Source organism: Homo sapiens, chromosome 6 (assembly GCF_000001405.40).
Source record: "Homo sapiens chromosome 6, GRCh38.p14 Primary Assembly".
Lineage (NCBI taxonomy): Eukaryota > Metazoa > Chordata > Mammalia > Primates > Hominidae > Homo > Homo sapiens.
This window is the reverse complement of record NC_000006.12, coordinates 6,623,292-6,644,371: the sequence shown is the minus strand read 5'-3', so window position 1 is coordinate 6,644,371 and position 21,080 is coordinate 6,623,292. Positions and strand designations below refer to the sequence as shown.

At 43.1% G+C, this 21,080-nt stretch overlaps 1 protein-coding gene across 1 annotated transcript in view, besides 1 other annotated feature; it reads right to left on the bottom strand.

Moving 5' to 3' along the window:
- LY86 (lymphocyte antigen 86) overlaps positions 1-21,080 on the bottom strand; it is a 66,263-nt gene that overhangs the window by 10,611 nt on the left and 34,572 nt on the right. The window contains exons 2-3 of the mRNA NM_004271.4: positions 19,360-19,446; positions 17,951-18,079 (exon numbers count right to left, since the gene is read on the bottom strand). Coding sequence (NP_004262.1) covers positions 17,951-18,079; positions 19,360-19,446 — 216 coding nt within the window. The remainder of the gene's footprint in view (positions 1-17,950; positions 18,080-19,359; positions 19,447-21,080) is intronic.
- Positions 985-1,034: an enhancer, noted in NCBI's record as "active region_23925". NCBI's record gives its function as "activates an Ori minimal core promoter by ATAC-STARR-seq in GM12878 lymphoblastoid cells {active_cell/tissue: GM12878}" and the evidence as "EXISTENCE:reporter gene assay evidence [ECO:0000049][PMID:35858748]".

The window sequence follows — 21,080 nt, the reverse complement described above, 5'->3', positions numbered from 1 at the left end:
CCTAGTTTTTTGTAGAGATGGAGTTTCACCATGTTGTCCAGGCTGGTCTCCAACTCCTGAGCTCAAGTGATTCACCCACCTTGGCCTCCCAAAGTGCTAGGATTACAGGCCTGAACCACTGCACCCGGCTGGTCCTGTGTCCTGGTCTGCCTCTTTTTGTTCTCAATAACCAGCGCAGATGCAGCCTGCTGACTGCATGAACTCTTTTAGGCAACCCTCTCCCCATTTCCTAGCCCTTGCTAGGATCTTGCTGGAATTCCTGCCGATTTCCCAAATTTATTATAAAATGTACATTAATGCTGAAGCATTTTTAGGGTGCTTAACAGTATAAAAATGCTCAAGAGTTATAATTATGATGCCTAGGCCAATTGGCATATCCAGAACAAATATTTTTGTTTAAAAAATCATTCATTCATTTACCTAGCATTTTGAGTCCCTTTCCCACCTGCTGGGCCCAGTAGGGCAGGGTAGAGGGGAGGCAGTGTTCTTTTTTGCCCCAGTTATATTGAGAAATGATTGACAAATAAAAATTGTATATATTTAAGTTGTATAACGTGGTTAGCATATCCTCACATAGTCACCTTTCGTGTGTGTGTGTTTGTGTGCACATGTGTGCCTGCACGTGTGTGTTCGTGTGCATGCATGCATTTGTGTGTGAATGTATGTGCGTTTTTGTGTGTATGCATGCTTGTGTGCGTGCATGTGTGTTTGTGTGTAGTGAGAACACTGGAGAGCTACTCCGTTAGCAACGCACAATACACTGTGATCAACAGTAGTCACTGTGCTGTACGTTAGGTCTCCAGAACTTACTCATCCTCTAACTGCAAGTTTGCACCCTTTGACCACCATCTCTTCCTTTCCCATGCTCCCTAGACCCTGCCAACCACTCATCTACTCTTACTATGAGTTTGACTTTTATTTTTGGATTCCACCTGTAAGTGAGATCATGCAATGTTTGTCTGCCTTATTTCATTTAGCATAAGGTCCTCCAGGTTTGTCCACGTTGTTGCAAATGGCAGAATTTCTTTCTTTTTTAAGGCTGAATCATATTCCATTGTGTGTATAGACCAAATTGTCTTTATCCATTCATCTGTCGCTGTTGTTTTTACATCTTGGCTACTGTGACTAATTCTGTGAGAAATTCCCACTGTCGGTGGGAATGTAAATTAGTACAGACACTGTGGAAAACAGTGTGGAGATTCCTCAAAAAATTAAAAATAGAACTTCCATATGATTCAGCAATCCCACTTCTAGGTATTTATATATCCAAAGGAGATGAAATCAGTATCTGGAAGGGATACCTGCATGCAGGGAGGCAGTGTCAACCTGGGAGGATGCAGCCCTCACTCTCCCCTCCAGGTGAGGCCAAGAGCAAAGTGGGAGGAAGCTCAGAGTCTGTGATGACATCTGGTGAATGGAGGACCAAGGTGAGGGGCCAGAGGACGAAGAGGAAGGTGGGAAGGATGTTCCAGACCAACCAAGAGCATCGTCTCCGGAGGAGGAGGAGGGAGGGAGTGCATGGCTTCGTTCTAGTGAGCTCTGGATACAGTCTTTATTCCTCTCCTTACCTCTGGGTATTTCCCGAGAGAACCAGATCTGGAAGATGGGGAAGGCCCAGGCACTGCTTCTCATCCCATCCCCTCTGATCTGAAGCTTTGCTTTCTTCAGTTTCTGACCCTCGAGGATGTAGTCCTTACTGTTCCCTTAAGACTTGGAGCTGGTAAGTTAGGGCTCTCATTTAAGGTAATAACAAACTTGCCTTGGAGTAGGGACTGATAAGAATGTCCACTGCCTTCAGGGCGAATGTCACGGTAGCTAGATCCCAGTGGGCCTTAAAGGCTGGAGGTTTCTTCAGGTTTCCATGGATTCCAGGCAGTGTGGGTAGGTAAGCTCCAAGCTAAGCCAGGCCTAATTGTAACTTTTTAGTATTATTTTTCAGTGTGTCCTAATTTGGCATCTCCTCAAGCTCCCGGGCCATTCAACTCTTATCCTCTGAGCCTCTGAGTCCTTTGTGTCTCCCCTGGAGGGGTCCTCCCGGGACTCTCAGTGCTGCAGGCTTGGCTGCTCCATTTCAGAGGGGGTTCTTCCAGTTCTCCCCATACAGTTGCACAGAATGTGCCTGGCTCAGGGTTAAGTGGGATCAGAAATCCAGCTGTGCCCTACTGGGTCAGGGCCTGTAGCCAAGGACTGGGCTGAATCCCAGCAGCATATGCTTTTAGGGGTCGGGGCCACATCCTCTCAGCCCCTGGTGGAATCCCGGCTGCTGGAGTGGGCATCAGCAGGGCCTCTGACATTACTCCATGTCAAGGGGCTGCCCCTCTGCATGCTTTCCTGCTTCAGAGAAGCCCGTGAAGGGCAACTGGGAAGTGCAGGGATGTGAACTCCTGAAGCCTCCTGACCCTGAGAAGGACAATTCTGAGGCACACGCTGCGGTTCCCCAGGGGTTGCTGAGGGATGGAGCCCTAGCTCCCTGTGCTGGTAATCAGCTCCCTGATGCATCTCTTACTGGCTTTCCCCATCACCCTGGCTTCCTGGCACCCCAGCCCAGTGTACAACCCACCCCCAAGTCCTTGAACCTGGCTTTACTTGGGGGTACCCCAAACTAGAAACACTTCCTGGCAGAAGGTGCCCCTTTTTCTAATGTATACCAAGACCATGGATGAGCTAGTGGTGGCCCTAGCCACCTGGCTGCTGGTACGTTTGCACCTGTTTCTTGTGATGGAACCACCTAGTTCAGAAATGGTACCCGAATGCCCTGGAACCTGTTCCTTGACTTTTATGCCAAAGACCAGGAATGAGAATTTTCATGCCCTGGATTATCTCTTTGAATTCTCTGAATCTCACACTCTGGGAGAAGACAGGAGCTGAGTGACAGGGACAAGAGGTGAAGATCACAGCTGTGCTCCAAGGGGAGGAAGAGGGTATGCGAGGAAGCCTGTGAGTTTTAGAAAAGAGGGACTGGAGGAAGCAGGAGGGGGGCACGGTGAACTCTGTCTTTGTTTTCTTCATTCAGTTGGATGGAGAGTTACTGTCCCTGAATAGCGCACAAGTGTCCAATAGTGCATAAGTAGAATAACCTATAATAAATCAAGTTAACTCTAATAAAGTGGATTTGAAAACTTTGGGACTCTTTGGCAAGTCAAATGGCCGTTTGTTGGAGGATTATTTCTGTTGCTCCACAATTAGAACTTGCTCAACTTTATTTCTAAATGTTACTTGGGGATGTCCAGCATATTTGGTCTCACCCCATTGGCTGTGTGAAGGGTCAGCGTGTTCTGGGAATAGTTGCTGAGGTGTTTTTGGAATCACAAGTGTACTTGAGAACTCATAACTGTATAATGTGAGTTTGGATGACTTTTTCTATACATAAGTTATCTTAGTTTTGCTTCCAGCTAACTCTACTTTGATATCTCTCCCTGTCCGTTTGACGAGGCATGTGAGATTTTATTTTACGGCCTTTCACTACCTAGAGAAATTTAATGTTATTTACAACTTGAAAACATTCACTGTGTACTTGTAATGAATCATTTATAAAATTAGAATTTTTCCTGGGTTTCTTCACTCATGGTCCTCTCCTTAGGCCTCTGCAATGATTCAGAGATATACTCATCTCTACCCTCCTTTTCTTTTTCTTTTTTTTTTGTTTTGTTTTGTTTTTAGAGAGAAATCTCACTCTGTTGCCCAGGGCTGCAGTGCAATGGTGTGATCATAGCTCACCACAGCCTTAAATTCCTGGGCTCAAGTGATCCTCCTGCCTCAGCCTCCCAAGTAGCCAGGACTACACCACCATGCCCAGCTAATTTTTAAAAATTTTTTAGAGATGGGGGTCTTCCTATGTTGCCCAGTCTGGTCTCAAACTCCCAGCTTCAAGAAATCCTCCCTGCCGCAGCCTCTGTAGCTGCTGGGATGAGAGGCATAGCCACTGCACCCAGCTATCCCTGCCCCCTCCTGCCTTTTTTTTTTATTTTTATTTTTTTCCAGAGATGGGGTTTCTCTATGTTGCCCAGGCTGGTCTGGAATTCTTAAGCTCAAGCAATCTGTGCCCCTCGGCCTCCCAAAGTGCTGGGATTACAGGTGTGAGACACTGCACCCGGCCTCTCCCTACACTTTTTATTCCTAATAGAAGCTGGTTTTCTCTCCATGACAAACATGATGAAGGACTCCTTGCCATCTTACCATCTTTCTTTGCCAAGAATGGGCACAGCACATGGGCTGTCATTGACTCCTAGCCAAATCATTTCTCCTCTGGTTAGAGGGCATGCAGGTGGTGGTTTTATGGGGGAAGAGTGACAATAATGGCCCAATAAGGGAAGCCCTTGGGAGCAATGATACAATCTCCTAACAGAAAGACTCATCTCTTGCCTCAGATTTGTGAGCAAGCGCATTATCTGTGAAGTTCTCAGAGTTGTTGGACTTCTATGAAAGCATTTTAATTGAAAACCTATGGAGTTTGAGTTTTTCCCGTATTATACACAGTTTTGGGCCTTTTCACATGGCACACAGAGTTCAGCAAGGCATGCTGGTTTTCCACTTGGGGGTTGTGCAGGACCCCCCAAAAGTGGTCCAAATCATAATCCCCAGAAACTGTGAATATGTTACCTTATATGGCAACAGGAACTCTGCAGATGTGACTGAATTAAGGATTTTGAGATGGGTAGATTACCCTGTGTGGCCCAGGGGGGTCCAATGTAATCACAGAGGTCCTTATAAGAGGGAGGTAGGAGATCAGAAGGAGAAGGCCAGGTGGAGATGGAAGCAGAAAGTAGAGTGATGCCACTACGGGCCGAGGAACGCAGCAGCCTCTAGAAACTGAAAAAGGCGAGAAAGCCGGCTTTCCCTGGGCCTCCAGAAGAAACACAATTCTATGATACTTTGATGCTAGCTTTCTGATATCCAGACTGTAAGAGAATCAATTGATGGTGTTGTCAATGGCTACGTTTATGGTGATTTGTTACAGCAGCTATAGAAAGCTAATACAGCGGCCTTGGATTAAGAAAGGAGGGACCAGGTGATGAGCCTGAGAAGGGACAAGGCTTGTGGCTTGTTTGTATTTGTGCTCACCACAAAGGGCCCTTCAGAACCATGACACGGATGTAACCTAGGATTTGAGCAGAAGAGAAAGTGCTTGGGTTTAGGGCTGGGCCAGAGAGTAGAATTTCTAACATAAACTCACAAACGAACTCAGGATGGACTGTTAAAAATACTTTAGAGCTGAGAATGATGATTTCCAGTTTCATCCCTGTCCCTACAAAGGACATGAACTCATCATTTTTTATGGCTGCATAGTATTCCATGGTGTATATGTGCCACATTTTCTTAATCCAGTCTATCATTGTTGGACATGTGGGTTGGTTCCAAGTCTTTGCTATTGTGAATAGTGCCGCAATAAACATACGTGTGCATGTGTCTTTATAGCAGCATGATTTATAGTCCTTTGGGTATATACCCAGTAATGGGATGGCTGGGCGCATGTTCTCATTCATAGGTGGGAATTGAACAATGAGAACACATGGACACAGGAAGGGGAACATCACACTCTGGGGACTGTTGTGGGGTGGGGGGAGGGGGGAGGGATAGCATTAGGAGATATAACTAATGCTAAATGACGAGTTAATGGGTGCAGCACACCAGCATGGCACACGTATACATATGTAACTAGCCTGCACATTGTGCACATGTACCCTAAAACTTAAAGTATAATAATAATAAAAAAAAATAGAGCAGTATAGATACTACTAGGTCAGATCTGTGCAATAGAACATTCCACAAAAATGGGAATGTTCTGTGTCTACGCCATCAAATACAGTAGTCACCAGGCATGTGTGGCTATTAGGAGCTTGAAATATGGCTGGTAGGACTGGTGCACTGAATTTTTAATTTAACTTAAATGTAAATTCTTCAAATAGCCACATGTGACTTGTGGCTGTCATATTGGACAGTGCAATTCTAGATCAGCACTGGCTAAGAGAAATATAATGTGAACCATATATGCGACATAAAACTTTCTAGTAACTATACAAAAAAAGGAAGAGGAAATAAGTGAAATTAATTTAGTAATATATTTTGTTTAACCCACTTATTAAAAATATTACCATTTCAGCATGGAACCAATATAAAGAGTCTTAATGAGATATTTACATTATTTTTTTCATACTTTGTACTAAGTCTTCAAAATCCGGTGTGTATTCTGTACATTTCACTTTGGACTGGCCATGCTCCTAGTACTTAATGGCTGCAGGGGCCAGTAGCTACTGTCTGGATGGTGCCGACTATTTAGTCGTTGCTGAGGAAGCGGGGCCTAGCAGGGAAAATGACTTTTTCAGTGGCATTCTGTCTGCAAGCCCTGTTTGTCTGCTGTCCAGCTTCCCCCTCTGAGAGATACCTAACTTCCAGCAGCAAAACAAAAAGAATTTAAGTTTTTTTGTTCCACCTACCAACCAGTTCCTAAATTTTGTGGACAAATACTTCATACGACATTCAAAATACGACTTATAAATTGGTGGGCTGATTAGATTCCTAGAAATGGAAATGAAGTAGATGATGATGGAAGCAAAGAGAAGAAATTGACTTGATCCTCAGAAACCTGGGCAACCCTGGGAAAGAGTAATGCGACTGGAAAGCTAAACAAACAGACATCACAGAGGGCTGCGTTTCTCACACTGGGGGGCTCCGGGCTCACACACTCAGGGCTCTCGGGATGTTTAGTTTCTTAAAATGCAAATACCAGCAGCTCTGGGATCCAAGTGGGTGATGTGGGGGAGTCGTGAGTTGGCCATCTTAATTAGCTTCCTAAACGATTATTACATCAAAGTATGTCACTGAGCTGGATTTATGAAATTCCATAACGGTCAAGGATTTGTAAAGAAGTTTGTCTTAGAAAATTAAAAGTATTTCTGGTCCTAGGTCATCCTTAGTCATAGTATGCTGGGCTCAAGGAACATAAAGAATTGACTGATGTCAAAGTACAGTTGCAGCATGGTTGGCTCATTTACAAACATGCTTGCATTTGAGGATGGGGAGAAAGCACCCAGGGCTCTAGAATTCCTTAAAAAACAGTATGTGGCCAGGTGCGGTGGCTCACGCCTGTAATCCCAGCACTTTGGGAGGCCGAGGTGGGCTGATCACGAGGTCAGGAGATTGAGACCATCCTGGCTAACAAGGTGAAACCCTGTCTCTACTAAAAATACAAAAATTAGCCGAGCGTGATGGCGGGCGCCTCTAGTCCCAGCTCCTCGGGAGGCTAAGGCAGGAGAATGGCATGAACCTGGGAGGCGGAGCTTGCAGTGAGCCGAGATCACATCACACTGCACTCCAGCCTGGGCGACAGAGCGAGACTCCTTCTCATTAAAAAAAAAAAAAAAAAAAAACCAATATGCTTCCTTTCATTCCATTTAGCAAGAAAAAGTACTCTTTTGCTTAGTCATTGCTTGTACCCTCTAGAGGGTGGCTACTGCTTTTAGTTCTGTTTTTTTTTTTTTTGCAGTTCGAGGGTAGGAGTTCGGCTAATGCAATAAGTAAACCATTGTTTTTGGTGATTCTGCATGAATTTGCTGCAGCAGCAGCTGCCTGGTATTTACAAGCAGGAAATCTACCATTGAAGTCTGGAGACAAGGAATAATACATGAAAGGAAGAAAGGAATGAAGGGGAGATGATGGTGCTTCAAATTTCCAATTCCATGAGAGATGCAAATGACACTCTCTCCCCACAGGGACAAGAGGGCCAGGGAAACTTCGCCTTGTTCAACCATCAGAAAATATGCAGGCTTAGACCAAAGGCATCTTCCTGCTACCTGTAAGGAAAAGGTCTTAAACTTCTAAGCCTCAATGACTCCACTGCCTCTTCATGGGCCTTGTTAAAATGCAGACTTCCAGTCTGAGACAGATGATGACTTGAGGGGCTCAGGGCCCTTGCTTGAGAAACCTGTCATCAGCTGCACAAAGTTGCTGCCATGGATCACTTATTGAATGCTTGCTGTGTGCAGAACGCCATTCTATGGGCTATATGTGTATTATCCCATTTTATCCTTATGACTATCCCATGAGGTCACTTGTATTTTCTATATTGTACAGATGACGAAACTGAGGCTCAGAGAGATTAAGTTACTTGTCTGAGTTCACATAAATGGTAAGTGGCAGTAAAGATTCAGCTCTATGTAGGTCTGGCTTCAAATCTTGTGCATAACCACCAGGCTAGAGGTTCTCAAAGTGTGGTCCCTGGGCCAGCATCATCAGCCTCACTGGGGGACTTGTAAGAAATGCAAATTCTCAGACTCCCCACCTGATGTACGAAACTGGAAACCCTGGGGCTAGGTCCAGCAACTGTGGTTGAACCTGGGCTCCGGGTGATGCTGATGCCTGCTCAAGGTTGAGAACCACTGGACTGGGCTAAGGTCTCTGCTCTCCAGCGGCAGCACTGCAGTCTGATGAGTCAGGGGACAGGAAATGCTTCCATAATAATATTGGTTTTGGTAACATGCTGCCTGCAGCTACAAAATGACAGTGGGGATAATAATGGCAGGTGAAATAGTGCAATTTTCCAGGTCACAGAAAGCTAGCACTCCCTCCATGGCTCTATAGATCCATCCACGAGAAGAGGAGCCAAGGCACATGAGTTCCCATCTCAGCCACTTTGTCACTGGGGATACTGGCAGCAGTTGAAGGGCAGGACCAGAAGCTAGGATTGGGGAAGGTTGGGAATGAAGTGCGGGGATGGAAAGCCTGCAGCTTTTGAAGGAGCAGGAAGTCTAAAATGGCCCAGAAATCAAAGGTGAGCAAACAAGTATAACATAGGTGATACCCTAGAAAACATGTACAGTAGACAATAGTCCCCCTTATCTGCAGTTTCACTTTCTGCAGTCTCAATTACCTGTGGTCAACTGTGGCCTGAAAATGTTACGGTATTTTGAGAGAGAGAGAGAAAGGGAGAGAGAGAGTGAGAGAGAAAGGCAGAGAGGAAGAGAAAGAGGGACCATACTCACATATTTTTATTACAGTAAATTGTTATAATTGTTCTATTTTATTAGTTGTTATTGTTAATTTCTAACTATGGCTAATTTATAAATTGAATTTTATCATAGGTATATGTATATATGGGGAAAATAGTAAATATAAAATTTGTTACTATTCATGGCTTTAGGCATGCACTGGGGGTCTTGGAACATGTCCCTATCAGGTAAGAGGAGACTACTGTATTTTTAAATTTAGGCTTCTGTTAAGCTGCTTATTCCCCTTCTGTTATAGCCTAAATCAATGCCTGAATTCCTGGGCTTGCATTTGTTAATGTATGTGCAGTGAACATGAAACAACTGAATCATGAAGCCCATGGTAGTGGGGCCATGGCTGGGAGCATGCTTTAGAGAGGTTGTCAGGTCATCAGCATAGATTAATTTCTTCAAGTAGCACCTGCTGGGAAGGTGGTTTAGCCCTGTCTTCTACTCCAGCAGCGCAGAGGGTAAGGCATTTTGCAGAAAGCATTTGTGGATTTTTTCCAAATCTAGGCAGTAAACAGATTGCATTCCCAGCACTCCCCCCAAATTCCCTTCATTTCCTAGATCTGTGGAAAGGAGCACATTGAAACAGAAATAGAGGAGGCCATAGAAATCTAACTGATGGGATCTGACTGCTGATCTAGATATTATTGTTAAGACAGAATTTTGAATTGATGCAGACAGTGAGATTGAGAAGGCTCTGCAATGAATGATACTGGGAGGATCACAGGTCCTAGTGTTCAGCATGAACCAGGACCAGAAGAGAAACATCTAATTAAGAAACGTAATGAAAAGGAAGGGAAGATGGGTAACCACAAGCACCCACCGTGGTTACACCTTTGACTTATTTGTATGTATAAAATCAGTGAGCATTACAACAGAATCTCTTGGATGCTGTCACAAAAATATCTGCCTTATGGGCAATATTATGCCAGACTTTAAATACAGTTCTCAGGGGATCTACTCTGTTTTATATTGAAATTCATCTCATTATAATGTATTTCTCACTTCGGTCAAACAGTAGGAAAGTTCAGATTTACACAAAAGATAAACCAGGGACCAGTTATTTTCTCAACTAGAGGATTCTTCAGATTGCAAAAGGTGTCATCATATTTCTTTTAATTGCAAGCTTTAAATATTAATGCATTTAAAATCAAGTTTAAACCTAATTATTTTCTCTAGCTTGCATTTGCACACAGGGAGGTATGTGTATCTGTTGAATGTGTTTCATAATGGATTTTGCTCATACTGAGAAGTGGCTTGTGCAGGCATGGATGCGCCATGAATCAGCAGTTCTTGTGGGCACCATTATCTTCTGCACCTCTCTCGGATCCTGACATGAATAAGGCATAATTAAGTCCTCTCAGGTTTTCATTGGTTGAATTACATCAATCGCAGCTTTCAAGGTCTCAAAGAAGATTCCTTGACCTACAGATACTCTAATTCATAATCATATACACTCAGTGTATACACACATGCACACACACACACAATTTATTTAACTCGCTTAAGCCTTTAATTTCAGTTGATTTTGGCAGTAGGTTGTGTACAATTGATATCTGCAAGTCAGTCTGTGAATCAATACACAAATTATTTTTGAAAGAGTATTACTCACTTGGTGTTATGGAACCAAGGCCACTTTGCCTGGGTTGATCTACCCTGGTCAGAACTCATAGAAATTTGGCCAGAACCAGGTTTGATAGTTGACATGTCTCTTATTATCAAGTGTGAAAATCATGTGTTCCTTGGACACATTGGGGCAAACAACACACACTGGGGTCTGTTGGAGGGTGGGGGATGGGAGGAGGGAGAGCATCGGAAAAATAGCTAATAGACGTTGGGCTTAATACTTAGGTGTTATCATGGGATGGTATCACAGATCATCATGGGATGATCTGTGCAGTTATTCACCATGGCACACGTTTAACTATGTAACAAACCTGCACATCCTGCACATGTACCCCTGAACTTAAAATAGAAGTTGGAAATAATATAAAACAATTTTTAAAAAGAAAGAAAATCATGTGTTCATTCTATTTACTTTATGGCTTTAATCTGAGTCTCTACCCAAATCGCCAGGTTCACTTCCAGTTGAGAACCTCACGTCTCCACGGCCCTACACAATATATTCTTGACAGTCCAAACATGAGCCACCTTTAAGTCATTTCTCTCCACTTTTTAATTGGGTAGAGCTTGTGGAGCAAGAATGAAGTGTTGCTTCTACTTCCCAGGGTGATACCTGAGTTTCAGGCTCCACAGTACATCTTACAACCAAATTTTGGCTCTATTTAACTTATTTCACTTTCATCTTCCTGACGTGGAATATTCTAGGAAACTGCTTGAACAAAATGAACCTCATTGAGAGTGGACATCAACATGTGTTGAACGCTTGATAAATCAGAGACTGAAAGAGACTGGAGTGAACTTGACTCCATTCCAAGCTAGACAGGGCTGTGGGTGTCTCATGTGTGGTGCTGGTGAGTGCTGACAAACCCAGACTTTGGGAAAAGTCTTTATGTCAGACTATTGTGGGCTAGGGTGACAGATCACACTTTGATAGATGTCAGGTTCCCTTGAAGGGAGTAGACATTCCTAAGATTATGCATTCTGGATGGAAGTCAAGCCAGTGGTAGAAAATAAAAATTTTAGAGGCTGACCTTAGATCAAAGGAAGAAGACAAAACAGAACAGAACAACATAGCCATGAAAGACTTGTTCAGTTACTGGTCAGGAAATTCTGGGATCCTGAGCAGGTTGGCAGTGTGAGATGTTATGGACTGGCTGCTCCTCTGGCTCTATGGTGAACCAGTTTGAGTCCTCTGGCCTGTTTCTATGACAGACCCACCAGAGTTTATCAATCAGCCCTGCAGTTTTCACAAAATGCTCCAACCCTCTGCCTCAAGGTCCCTCGGGTAGGGGAGGAAGCCCAGGGACTCAGTGCTGTGATTTCTAACGCGTCAGACACATCACATATCTTATTTAGTCTCCACTCTTACCCAATAATGAATTATGGCCACTCTCATTTGATAGATGCAGTAATTGAGAAATAGAGAAATGTAATGGCCCTCCAGACTGTCCATGGCAGCTGTGGGGAGGGAAGGAGACCTCCAGGCCTGCTCTCTGGCTTTTTCCTAAGGTGCTCTTCCTCCTGCCAGCTGCCACTCTGACCAGCCTATCTGTTAAGTCCCTTTTGCCCCAAATCTAATTTTTTGGCACAGGTCTTATAAAGCAGAGTCAAAGCACAGGTGTGGCATTGTCCTTGGTGTCCTGGATCTGAATTTATGCTGCAGCTCAGGTCAAGTGTCCACCTGGTGACAGCCCCCGCATACCTGTGCTCAGTAACTCTGGCTAAGAGCCCTGGATTCTGACTTACCTTCTAGCAGTGGTTCACAAAAGTTAACATGCCACAGAACCACTTAGAGCAGGACTGATCAGTCAAAAGAAGAATAATACTTCACCACATGTAAGAATTAAATGAAATTTAAATTTCAGTGTCCATAAATTAAACAAAGCCAAATCAATTATAAAATACATGCAGCAGATATAGACATACCTCACTTCATGTAATCTGGGCACACAGCCATGTCCACTCATTTTCATATTATCTCTGCAAGGGAAGGGTTGAGCAATTGCCACAGAGACCATATGGTCTGCAAAACCTAAAATGTTTACTATCCTTCCCTTTCCAGAAGAAAGTTTGCCAACACATGGCCCAAAAGGCTTGTTAAAATACAGATCACTAAGCCCCAACCCCAGAGCTTCTGATTCAGTACGTCTGGGTAGGGACCAAGAATCTGCCATTTCTAATAATTTCCTAGATGATGCTGATGTTGCTGGTCTGAGGACCACACTTTGAGAACCACTGCCTTATAATAATGGCTGGTTATGCCCAAAGATGATCCTTTGATTTCTATAATTTTGTTATGCCCTTTAAATCTTTTTCCGGTCTTAGTGGAGGGCTGAAATGAGTTTACTTCTTCTCTAGCAAAGCTTTCTTTATGTTTACAGAAGATATACAGCAGAGGGGTTTGGAGCTGGACAGAAACCCAGTTCCACCCCCCGCTGGCTTTGTGACCTTGGGTAAGTTAGACTCAATTTCCTCATCTGATAAGATGAGGGTGTATGTAGGAAAAAACAGTTTTTTCCTCCCATATTCTCAACACAGAGCACTTCTGGTCACCACCTGGCTTGGCTCTCACTCCTAGAGATTCTGATATCATTGGTCTGGGGTATGGCCTGGATGTTGGGAGCTTCAAAATTATAAAGGGAGATAATAATGCAGCGCTGCCAGTAAAAACATTAAAGAGAGTCACACATATAATTTTATGTTTTCTAGGAGCCACATTTTAAAAGTTGAAATTAATTTTAATATAATATTAATATCTTATCATTGATAAATGATTAAAATAATATATTAATGATAAATTCTACTTAACTCAGTATATTCCAAATATTAACATTTCAACACATAACCAGTGGAACAATGATAGAGATATTTTACATTCTTTTTCTAAGACTAAAGCTTTGAAACTGAGTCTGTACTTTACACTTACAGCACATCTCTATTCAGACTGGCTACATTTCAGGGCTCAGTCGCGACCTGTGGCTTGTGGTCATTGCTTCAGAAAGCACAGGAGCAGTTAATGTGCGACCAAGATGGAGACCCACTGGGGTAACGGCGCGCTTGGTGTTTGCAGACCAGACCAAAGCTCCCGGATCACACAGGGGTTCTATCGGCATTGTTGTTCTTGAGGATTGAGGGAGTTGGCTGCAGCTTCCCTCCTTTGGGCTAGGAATTAGTTGTGGTCATTAAGGACATTCAATGAAGCTCAATTTAGTCTTAAAAGTGGATGTGTAGCTTATGGAACCTGTTTGAAAGCATGGCAATCAACTAAAGCAAATACATCTGAATGACTCGATACTATCAGAGGAGACAGAAGGACCAAGGCAGCTTTAACAGAGAAGAAAGTAAAACAGTGGCCAATGTTGTCTCCTTCTCAGTGAGCCCACAGCCTGAGTAAATGGGGCTGTGGGTATCCCAGGCAAGAGGATGGCTGTTAGATCATCCCTTGATATTCTACGCAACTCTTTGATTCAGAACTTTCTATTCGAGTCCAAATATCGCTGGATATTACATAGGCTGTAATTCTCTTTGAAAACTCTTAAATTTATTCCCAGGGGAAGAGAATTTATTCTCTCTATTCTTTCCTGTAATGATAAAGTAACACTTAAAAGAGTAACCTTGCAAATTTATCATAAAAGCAAGCGAGATTTCCAAAAAAGACAAAAATAAAGATCTGCAGAGATAAGTACTCTTAGCACTAAAGTGTGTACTCTTTCAGAGTTTTTTTGTGTATACACTTACACACATTTTATACAATAGGATTCAACAGTGACTACACTTTTATAGCATGCTTCTTTGTCACATAATATTCTTACAAGTATATTTTCATGTAATTTAGTAATCTACGGCATCATTTTAAAATCACAGCATACTGTACCTTTGTTTGGCTGAATAATGACCTACTTAGTCAATGCCCTATCGTTGGCCATATACGCTATTTCCTCCACATTGTCAATCACAGCATAAGTAATCATACTGAAAGAGCATCAGCTGGTCTTTGAATCCAATGTGATGCTTGCCTTAAAGCTAGCTGAGGACAAGGCAGAGGGAAAGGAGGCAACATTTCAGTCTCACTAAGCCTGACCCATTTTGTGTTTTATTTGGCTTGGAGAAAAGCCAGCGAGATGCAGTTTGCAGAGGAATGCATAGTAATGCCATGGCAATGATACCAAACAGCTCAACTGCCAGTGACACCACAATGTGCCACCCACAGTGGACATTAAGTTTTCTCACCGCTCTGCTAAGAAGGACCTGCAAGCCCCAGAGCAAGCCTTTTTATGTGTAACATGTCAACAGCAGCTTGTGCTTGGATTTGGATTGACTTTAGTTCTCCCTGGTGTTCTTTTTTCCCCTTCTGGTCTTACTATTAACCATTTCTTTGGAATAGAATCATTCCTGCAGTAGGTTTGTGGGTGGGTTAAAACAATTTAATTATCCAAAAAGCCTCTGACTTTAAGATTTTAGTTTCTCTGACTTACATAGTTTACATAATTATTTGTTCATGCAGCATTTGTATATCACTTTTCTGATCATTTTACACTATATGATATTTTACACTATATGAAGTTTTCTGGCAATTTCCCCAATGCCAGCTTCTCAGCTTGCCTATGCAGTCATCACTCCCATTGCAATAAAGCAGATAAATAGCTGCAGAGCTGTCCAACCTTCAAATAAGGCAAATGTCAGCCTTTTGAGCTGCTAAACTGAATTGAATACCTCAAACTGATTTAGGGAACCATCTCTCTTCTGTTTTATCAATCCTATTAAAACCATACGCAGGCAAAAATAGCAAGGTTTTCTTATACTTGAAGGACCAGGAAAATGTACTCTCTGCTAGGATTTGATGCATGTTGTGTCTTTGTGCCATGCATAAGCAGCCTTAAGTAGTCATTTTTAAGGTGAACTGGTAAAACTGTGTTCAATCCATCATATGTTCACAGGCAAATGCAATAAAACAAGTATCTATTGTGTCTTTACTTTGTGCCAGGTCTCTTTGCCATGTCAGCAGAGACAGATAGGAGCAAGAAATATGCCTTCCTTCAAGGAGTTTAAAGTTTAATTGGGAGGGACACACACTAACCGTAAAATTCAATTCCATCTGAGATAAGCACTACAGCAGAAGTAGGAACACGATGCTCCCAGAGCACCCAGAGGGAGCACTTCATCTGTTGGGGCTAGAGGAAGCTTCAGAGAGAGACAGAGAGAGAGACAGACAGAGAGACAGAGAGAGAAAGGGATACTTGAGCTAGGTCTGGATGAAAAGCAAATAGCAAGTGGGCCACACATGCTAAGGGGACCATCCAAATAATGTTGCACATGTTAAAATGCAGCTCTGAAGAGAAAGTGGCAAAGGATCCCTTAAGGCTGATGCCGCAGGTATGTATAGGGGGGTGGAGCAAGATGTGGCTGAAGAAGGGAGGAAGGGAGGGAGGGATGGGGGAGAGAAGGGAGAGAAGGAAGAAGGGGAGGGAGGGAGGAAGGGGAGGGAAGGAGGAAGGGGAGGGAGGGAGGGAGGGAAGGAGAAAGGACTGACTGTGGTTGAGGAGCTCGGGGTTGGCCCAGCTGAGGGCAGGTGGAAAAAGTTAAATAGGGACGGACTAATGATGAGTTCACCATTCTGAGGAAATGCATGAACGTACTTGATTAATCAGAAATGTCTCCAGTAAGTTGAGAGAGGAAAACTGACTTATGATTTTAAGGTGGGTTAGCTAAGAAAAAAAAAAAAGTCCCAATTTGAAACAAAGTCAGATCACTGGGCAGAAAGATTTCTGAAATGATAATTTTAAATAAACCCCTTGGCCAAAAGCAAGACACACTCATTTGTTGTATTGTTTGTTCTTTTATTCATTCATTCATTAAAGCTAAGATTGGAGTCAGCCTGCCTGGGTTCAAGCCATGGATCCTTCAAGCTCTGTGACTTGGTGCAAGTTCCTAAACCCCTCTGTGCTTCAGTTACACATTTATGAAGTTGGAATATTAATGTAGTATTAACTTGTAAGGTTGGTGTGGGAAGTAAATGACTTATTGGGTCTAAAGCTCTTAGAACAGGGCCTGGTACGAATGCTCAATCGTGTTAGGCATTTTGCTCTGCGTGTGTCTGTATTCAGAGCTCTCTGTGTGTCAGCCACATTTGAAATACTGGGAATAAAAAGACAAAGGTGATATGACCCTACCCTCAAGCAGCTCGTGGTCCAATGTGGAAGATACACGGCAGTAAACCAGGACAGTCCAACATGGCAAACGCTAGGATACAGTGATGTGCCACACACTCGGGAGGGATGGCGAGGGTGGTGAGGCAGCCAGGCTGGTTCTGCCCTCTACAGATCCCAGCAAAGTTCCCCCGACTTCCATCTGGCCAATCCTCCCTTAAGTTCCTTGTTTTCTTTTGTCTGCATCCCTCACTGTAGAAAGGAGATTCCAATTTCTTCTAGATCTTTCATTTAAAAGGAGTAATTGCAGCATTTCACAAGGAATTTACTGTTTAAAATTCTAGCTCTCTTGAATGAGAAAATAGATAAAGGAGTATTTCTGAGATGTGGGGTGAGGGGTGTATTGGGGGTATGCCCTGCCTTGGCCAGTGGGAGTAGGAAGGAGACCCTGGGAGGGGAGAGCAGCTGGGAGAGAACCACTCCTGGGGAAGGACAGTCAGAGAATAGAGCCAGGTTTTAACCACACCGCGGAAGCATCTCAGGGCCTTGGTGAAGCTGTGGGTAAAGACAAGGAGGAAAGGAGAGGTGGGGACAGGTGGGGGAAGGTGACCTGCCCTTTCTTCAAGGCTGTATGGCAGGCGGTAGAGGGTTGGTGCACTGCCGAAAAGGTAGCTAATATAATGGGGTTTCCGTTTCTCTACTTCGAGTGTAACTCCCGGATGCCCTGCTAGTCAATGACCCACGTGGGAAAGGTGGTGACATATCATAAGCTTCATTTTTTTTTTTCGTTTTTGAAGTCCATTACTATATTAAGGACATCCTGCCACTAAGGAAGTTGTGGAGGGAAAACCTGGGAGCACTCTGAACCTCAATGGATTTTTGGAACCTCTTGGCTCTTTCTGCTGCCAGCCCTTTTTTATAAGATGCTGCTACTCACAGTAACAATGTTCTGTTTTAAAGCATCTCATACGTGTCATTTCATTTTGATATTCACAACAGCCCTGTAAGGTAGGCCTATGGAATGGGCCTTATTGTTATTTTTCTGCAACACATGCTGATAAGTGAGGATAAGCTCGTCCAAAGGCGAGGGGCAGAGACAGAGCTCTGGTCTGGGCGTCCTGGCCTCAGATGCAAGTTCGAGTTTATCTCTCTGCAGGCCCCTGCCAGCAGTGAGCAAGACAGATGGCTTACCTCCTTTCCTTCTTCCACAGAAAGAAAACTTGGGCAGAGCCGCCTCACAGATGGGATAGGAGAAATTCAAAACAGATGAGCCTTGAGACATGAGAGCTAGGTCAAGAAAAAGCTCTTTGATGTCCTCTCCTGGAGGAAAGAGAAGAACAGCTTTACTCTTACTGCGTGTTTCACTGTGTATCAGAGGCATTCACAGTATACAGCAGCATGAGCTAAAGAACCTTTTGTTTCCATTAATCTTCTCTGTGTGGGGAACAGTTTTCTTCTTTCCTTGGTAAAACAGCATTTAGGCAATGCTACAGGGGATTATGATGGGGCCCTGCGTATGAAAGGTGGCTGTTTCTCAAAATACCTGCTTGGAACAAGGTAGTTAATCAGCTGAGCTCCCCACCCTGATGCTATGGCCTTTTAATGTGATGTCTGCAGGTCTGGCTTCTGGAATTTCTCAGTTGCATAGTATCATTTGTTCCCCATGATGGCGGTGGGGTGTGGTCACGCCTACATACACCTGCTGCTGTTGCCAGGGAGGTATTGCAGCACAGGTGCACAGGAAGCTGCAGCGGGTTCCATGGTGGTGGCTTCCAATTCTCTCTTTTTCTCCATTCCTCCCTTTTATGTTCCACCCACTCTTCTATTTCTCTTTTCTCGCTTTTTCTCTCCCCATAACATTTCTCCAGCTGCTGCTAGAGTCCAGATACTGTGTAAGATTCTAGAAATACAAAGATGCGTGAGAGTTCTTGATTTCTATGAATGTTCCCTCCATTTCTCTGGAATGATTCCACATGCTAAGTTTATTAAACCTCTCTACTTTGATTTTGATATAACTGCTTTGGAAAAGGAGGTCGTCTAGTAGCTATAGAAAATATATTGACCAACTATAATTGCATGATCATATGAAAATTAAACAATCAGAAAGTGCTCTAGCTTACTGATTGGGGTAGGAGAGAAAATATTACATCTCCTCCTTGCCGATGTCAAAGTTTAAGAATTTGTATTAACTATTTGGGATACAAAATAACACAAATGACAAACCGTACCGCTGGTAGTAGATTTATTTGTTGCTGAGATAACTAAAAAAGTTAGGAGATCCTGAGTAGACATTAATACTTAATCTCAAAATATTTTCCTTTTTTTTTGCTGGGTATACTGATTCCAGGTGCTTATATCATCCAAATGAGTGCCTAGAGTCTTTTTAATACAAAAGTACAGCTTTAAGTGAGAGTTCTACCCTACCTGAATATAACCCAGAGAAAGATTTGAAAATGAAGATATAAATAGAGTTAATTCCAGAGAGTGGTGAGGGAACAGTAGTTTAGCCAGTCATTACAGTTAACATAAGTCATTGGGTGTGTGGAGTTGGAAGAGGCTGTGCAATGTTTTATTTCATGCTAATCATTTTTTTTACTTACTCAGAATAATTCCAAATCTAATGTTGATATTTGATTTTAATTGCTTGGAACACTTTTCAACAGAAAAGCCAAAATCTTGTAATGGATCTACGAAGAAGAAAACAATAGATTAGTTGCGAGTACATCGTATATTTTGCAAACATATTCAAAATTTGCAACAATATTGTTTTCACATGAATTGCTACATTTATTCAAAAGCATATTGCCCAACACTTTTTAAAATAAGCCCATGATATTTTCATCAGCTCCCCCCCGTGTCTTCAAAGCCAACATCATGTTCACTCTGACAACAGGGGGCCTCCATCCATGGAATAAACAGGGTCTTGCTAGTTGGGTTATATCTTTACTTGTTAATGTTTTTATCATAGAAAATGTTTATCATTGCCTGAATTTTTTTAGTTCCTGAACGTTTGGCCTTAAAATTGCTCATGGATTGCATAGCGGATTTAATAAAGTATCTATTATTATTATCAAAACAGAGGGAGATACAAAAGTTAGGAGAGCTTGAGTAGACATTAATACTTAGGCTCAAAATATTTTCTAAAAAGATTTTCAAAGTTAAGACCTGCCTTTCTAATTCCATTTTATCCCATCCCATCCCAACCCATCCCATCCCATCCCATCCCATCCCATCCCATTTAATGTAATGCTTCCTCCTCCAAATATTCCACTATGTACAAGGTATTGTGTTAGATATGATAGGGGCTATAAAGATAATATTTTCTGCATACAACTTCTGCTCATTCACAAAGCTCCAATGGCTTATCTATGCCTCAGAATACAGTCCAGAAATGAGCGACTGGCTCCAACTTCCATCCTCCACATCACAAATCCATCCTTCATTCCTTGAGGCCAGAGTGGCAACATACACACCAGCACATTCCCACCATGTTTGATTTGCTTGTGTGCTTTCTCCCATTTGCAATGGTCTTAGTCTTTTTGGCCATTATCTAAATCCTCAGGTCTTGCTCATTCCCATCTTCTTTGTGAAGGCTTCCCTGCCCCCATATATTCTCTTGCTTCCTTGAACTCTTAAAACAGCGATGTCTGGCATTCTTGGTAAAGTGTACAAACATGTATCACTCTGCACTTTGCTACGTGGCTTATCCTGCAACACTGAATCTAAACATGAGATTTCTTAAAGGCCAGAGCTGGTTTCTTGTTTTGTTTTGTTTGTTTTGCTTTCCATTTCCTTTTCCTTTATGTTTCCCACTGGACTGGAGATAGGAGAGCTATTTTTAACAGAGGGTTTACCTTGTACTAATAGCTGAGCCTTGTACTTTAGGAGTGTTTTCCATTTAATTCTCTAGGTTCCCCAACACCTAGCAGAGAGCCTCACAGCCTCACAGTCTGATCCACAGTAAGCACTCCATAAATGTACATGTTGAGTGAATGGATGGGCCATATATTGGGGCTGTTTCTCAGCTCCAAATCCAGCCCTCTTTCCTCTGCTTTTTCACTGGGCTCTCGGTAATCATGTTTCTCCTTCACTGTCTGCCAGTCAAGGTAGCAGAGAGATGGAGGCTGGAGTCGAAGAAGGGACTTGCTCCTTCGTGAGTACTTGCTGGGAGTGTCACTGGTGATGGCCCATCATGTTGGCAGTGGCAGTTGGTTCCAGTTTCCAGCTCTCTTGCACCTTCCCAGCTTCAGCTGAGACTCAGCTCTGCGGGGCCCTAAGCTACTGCAGTAACAGCACATCAGAAGCTGTCACCCTTTCCTTA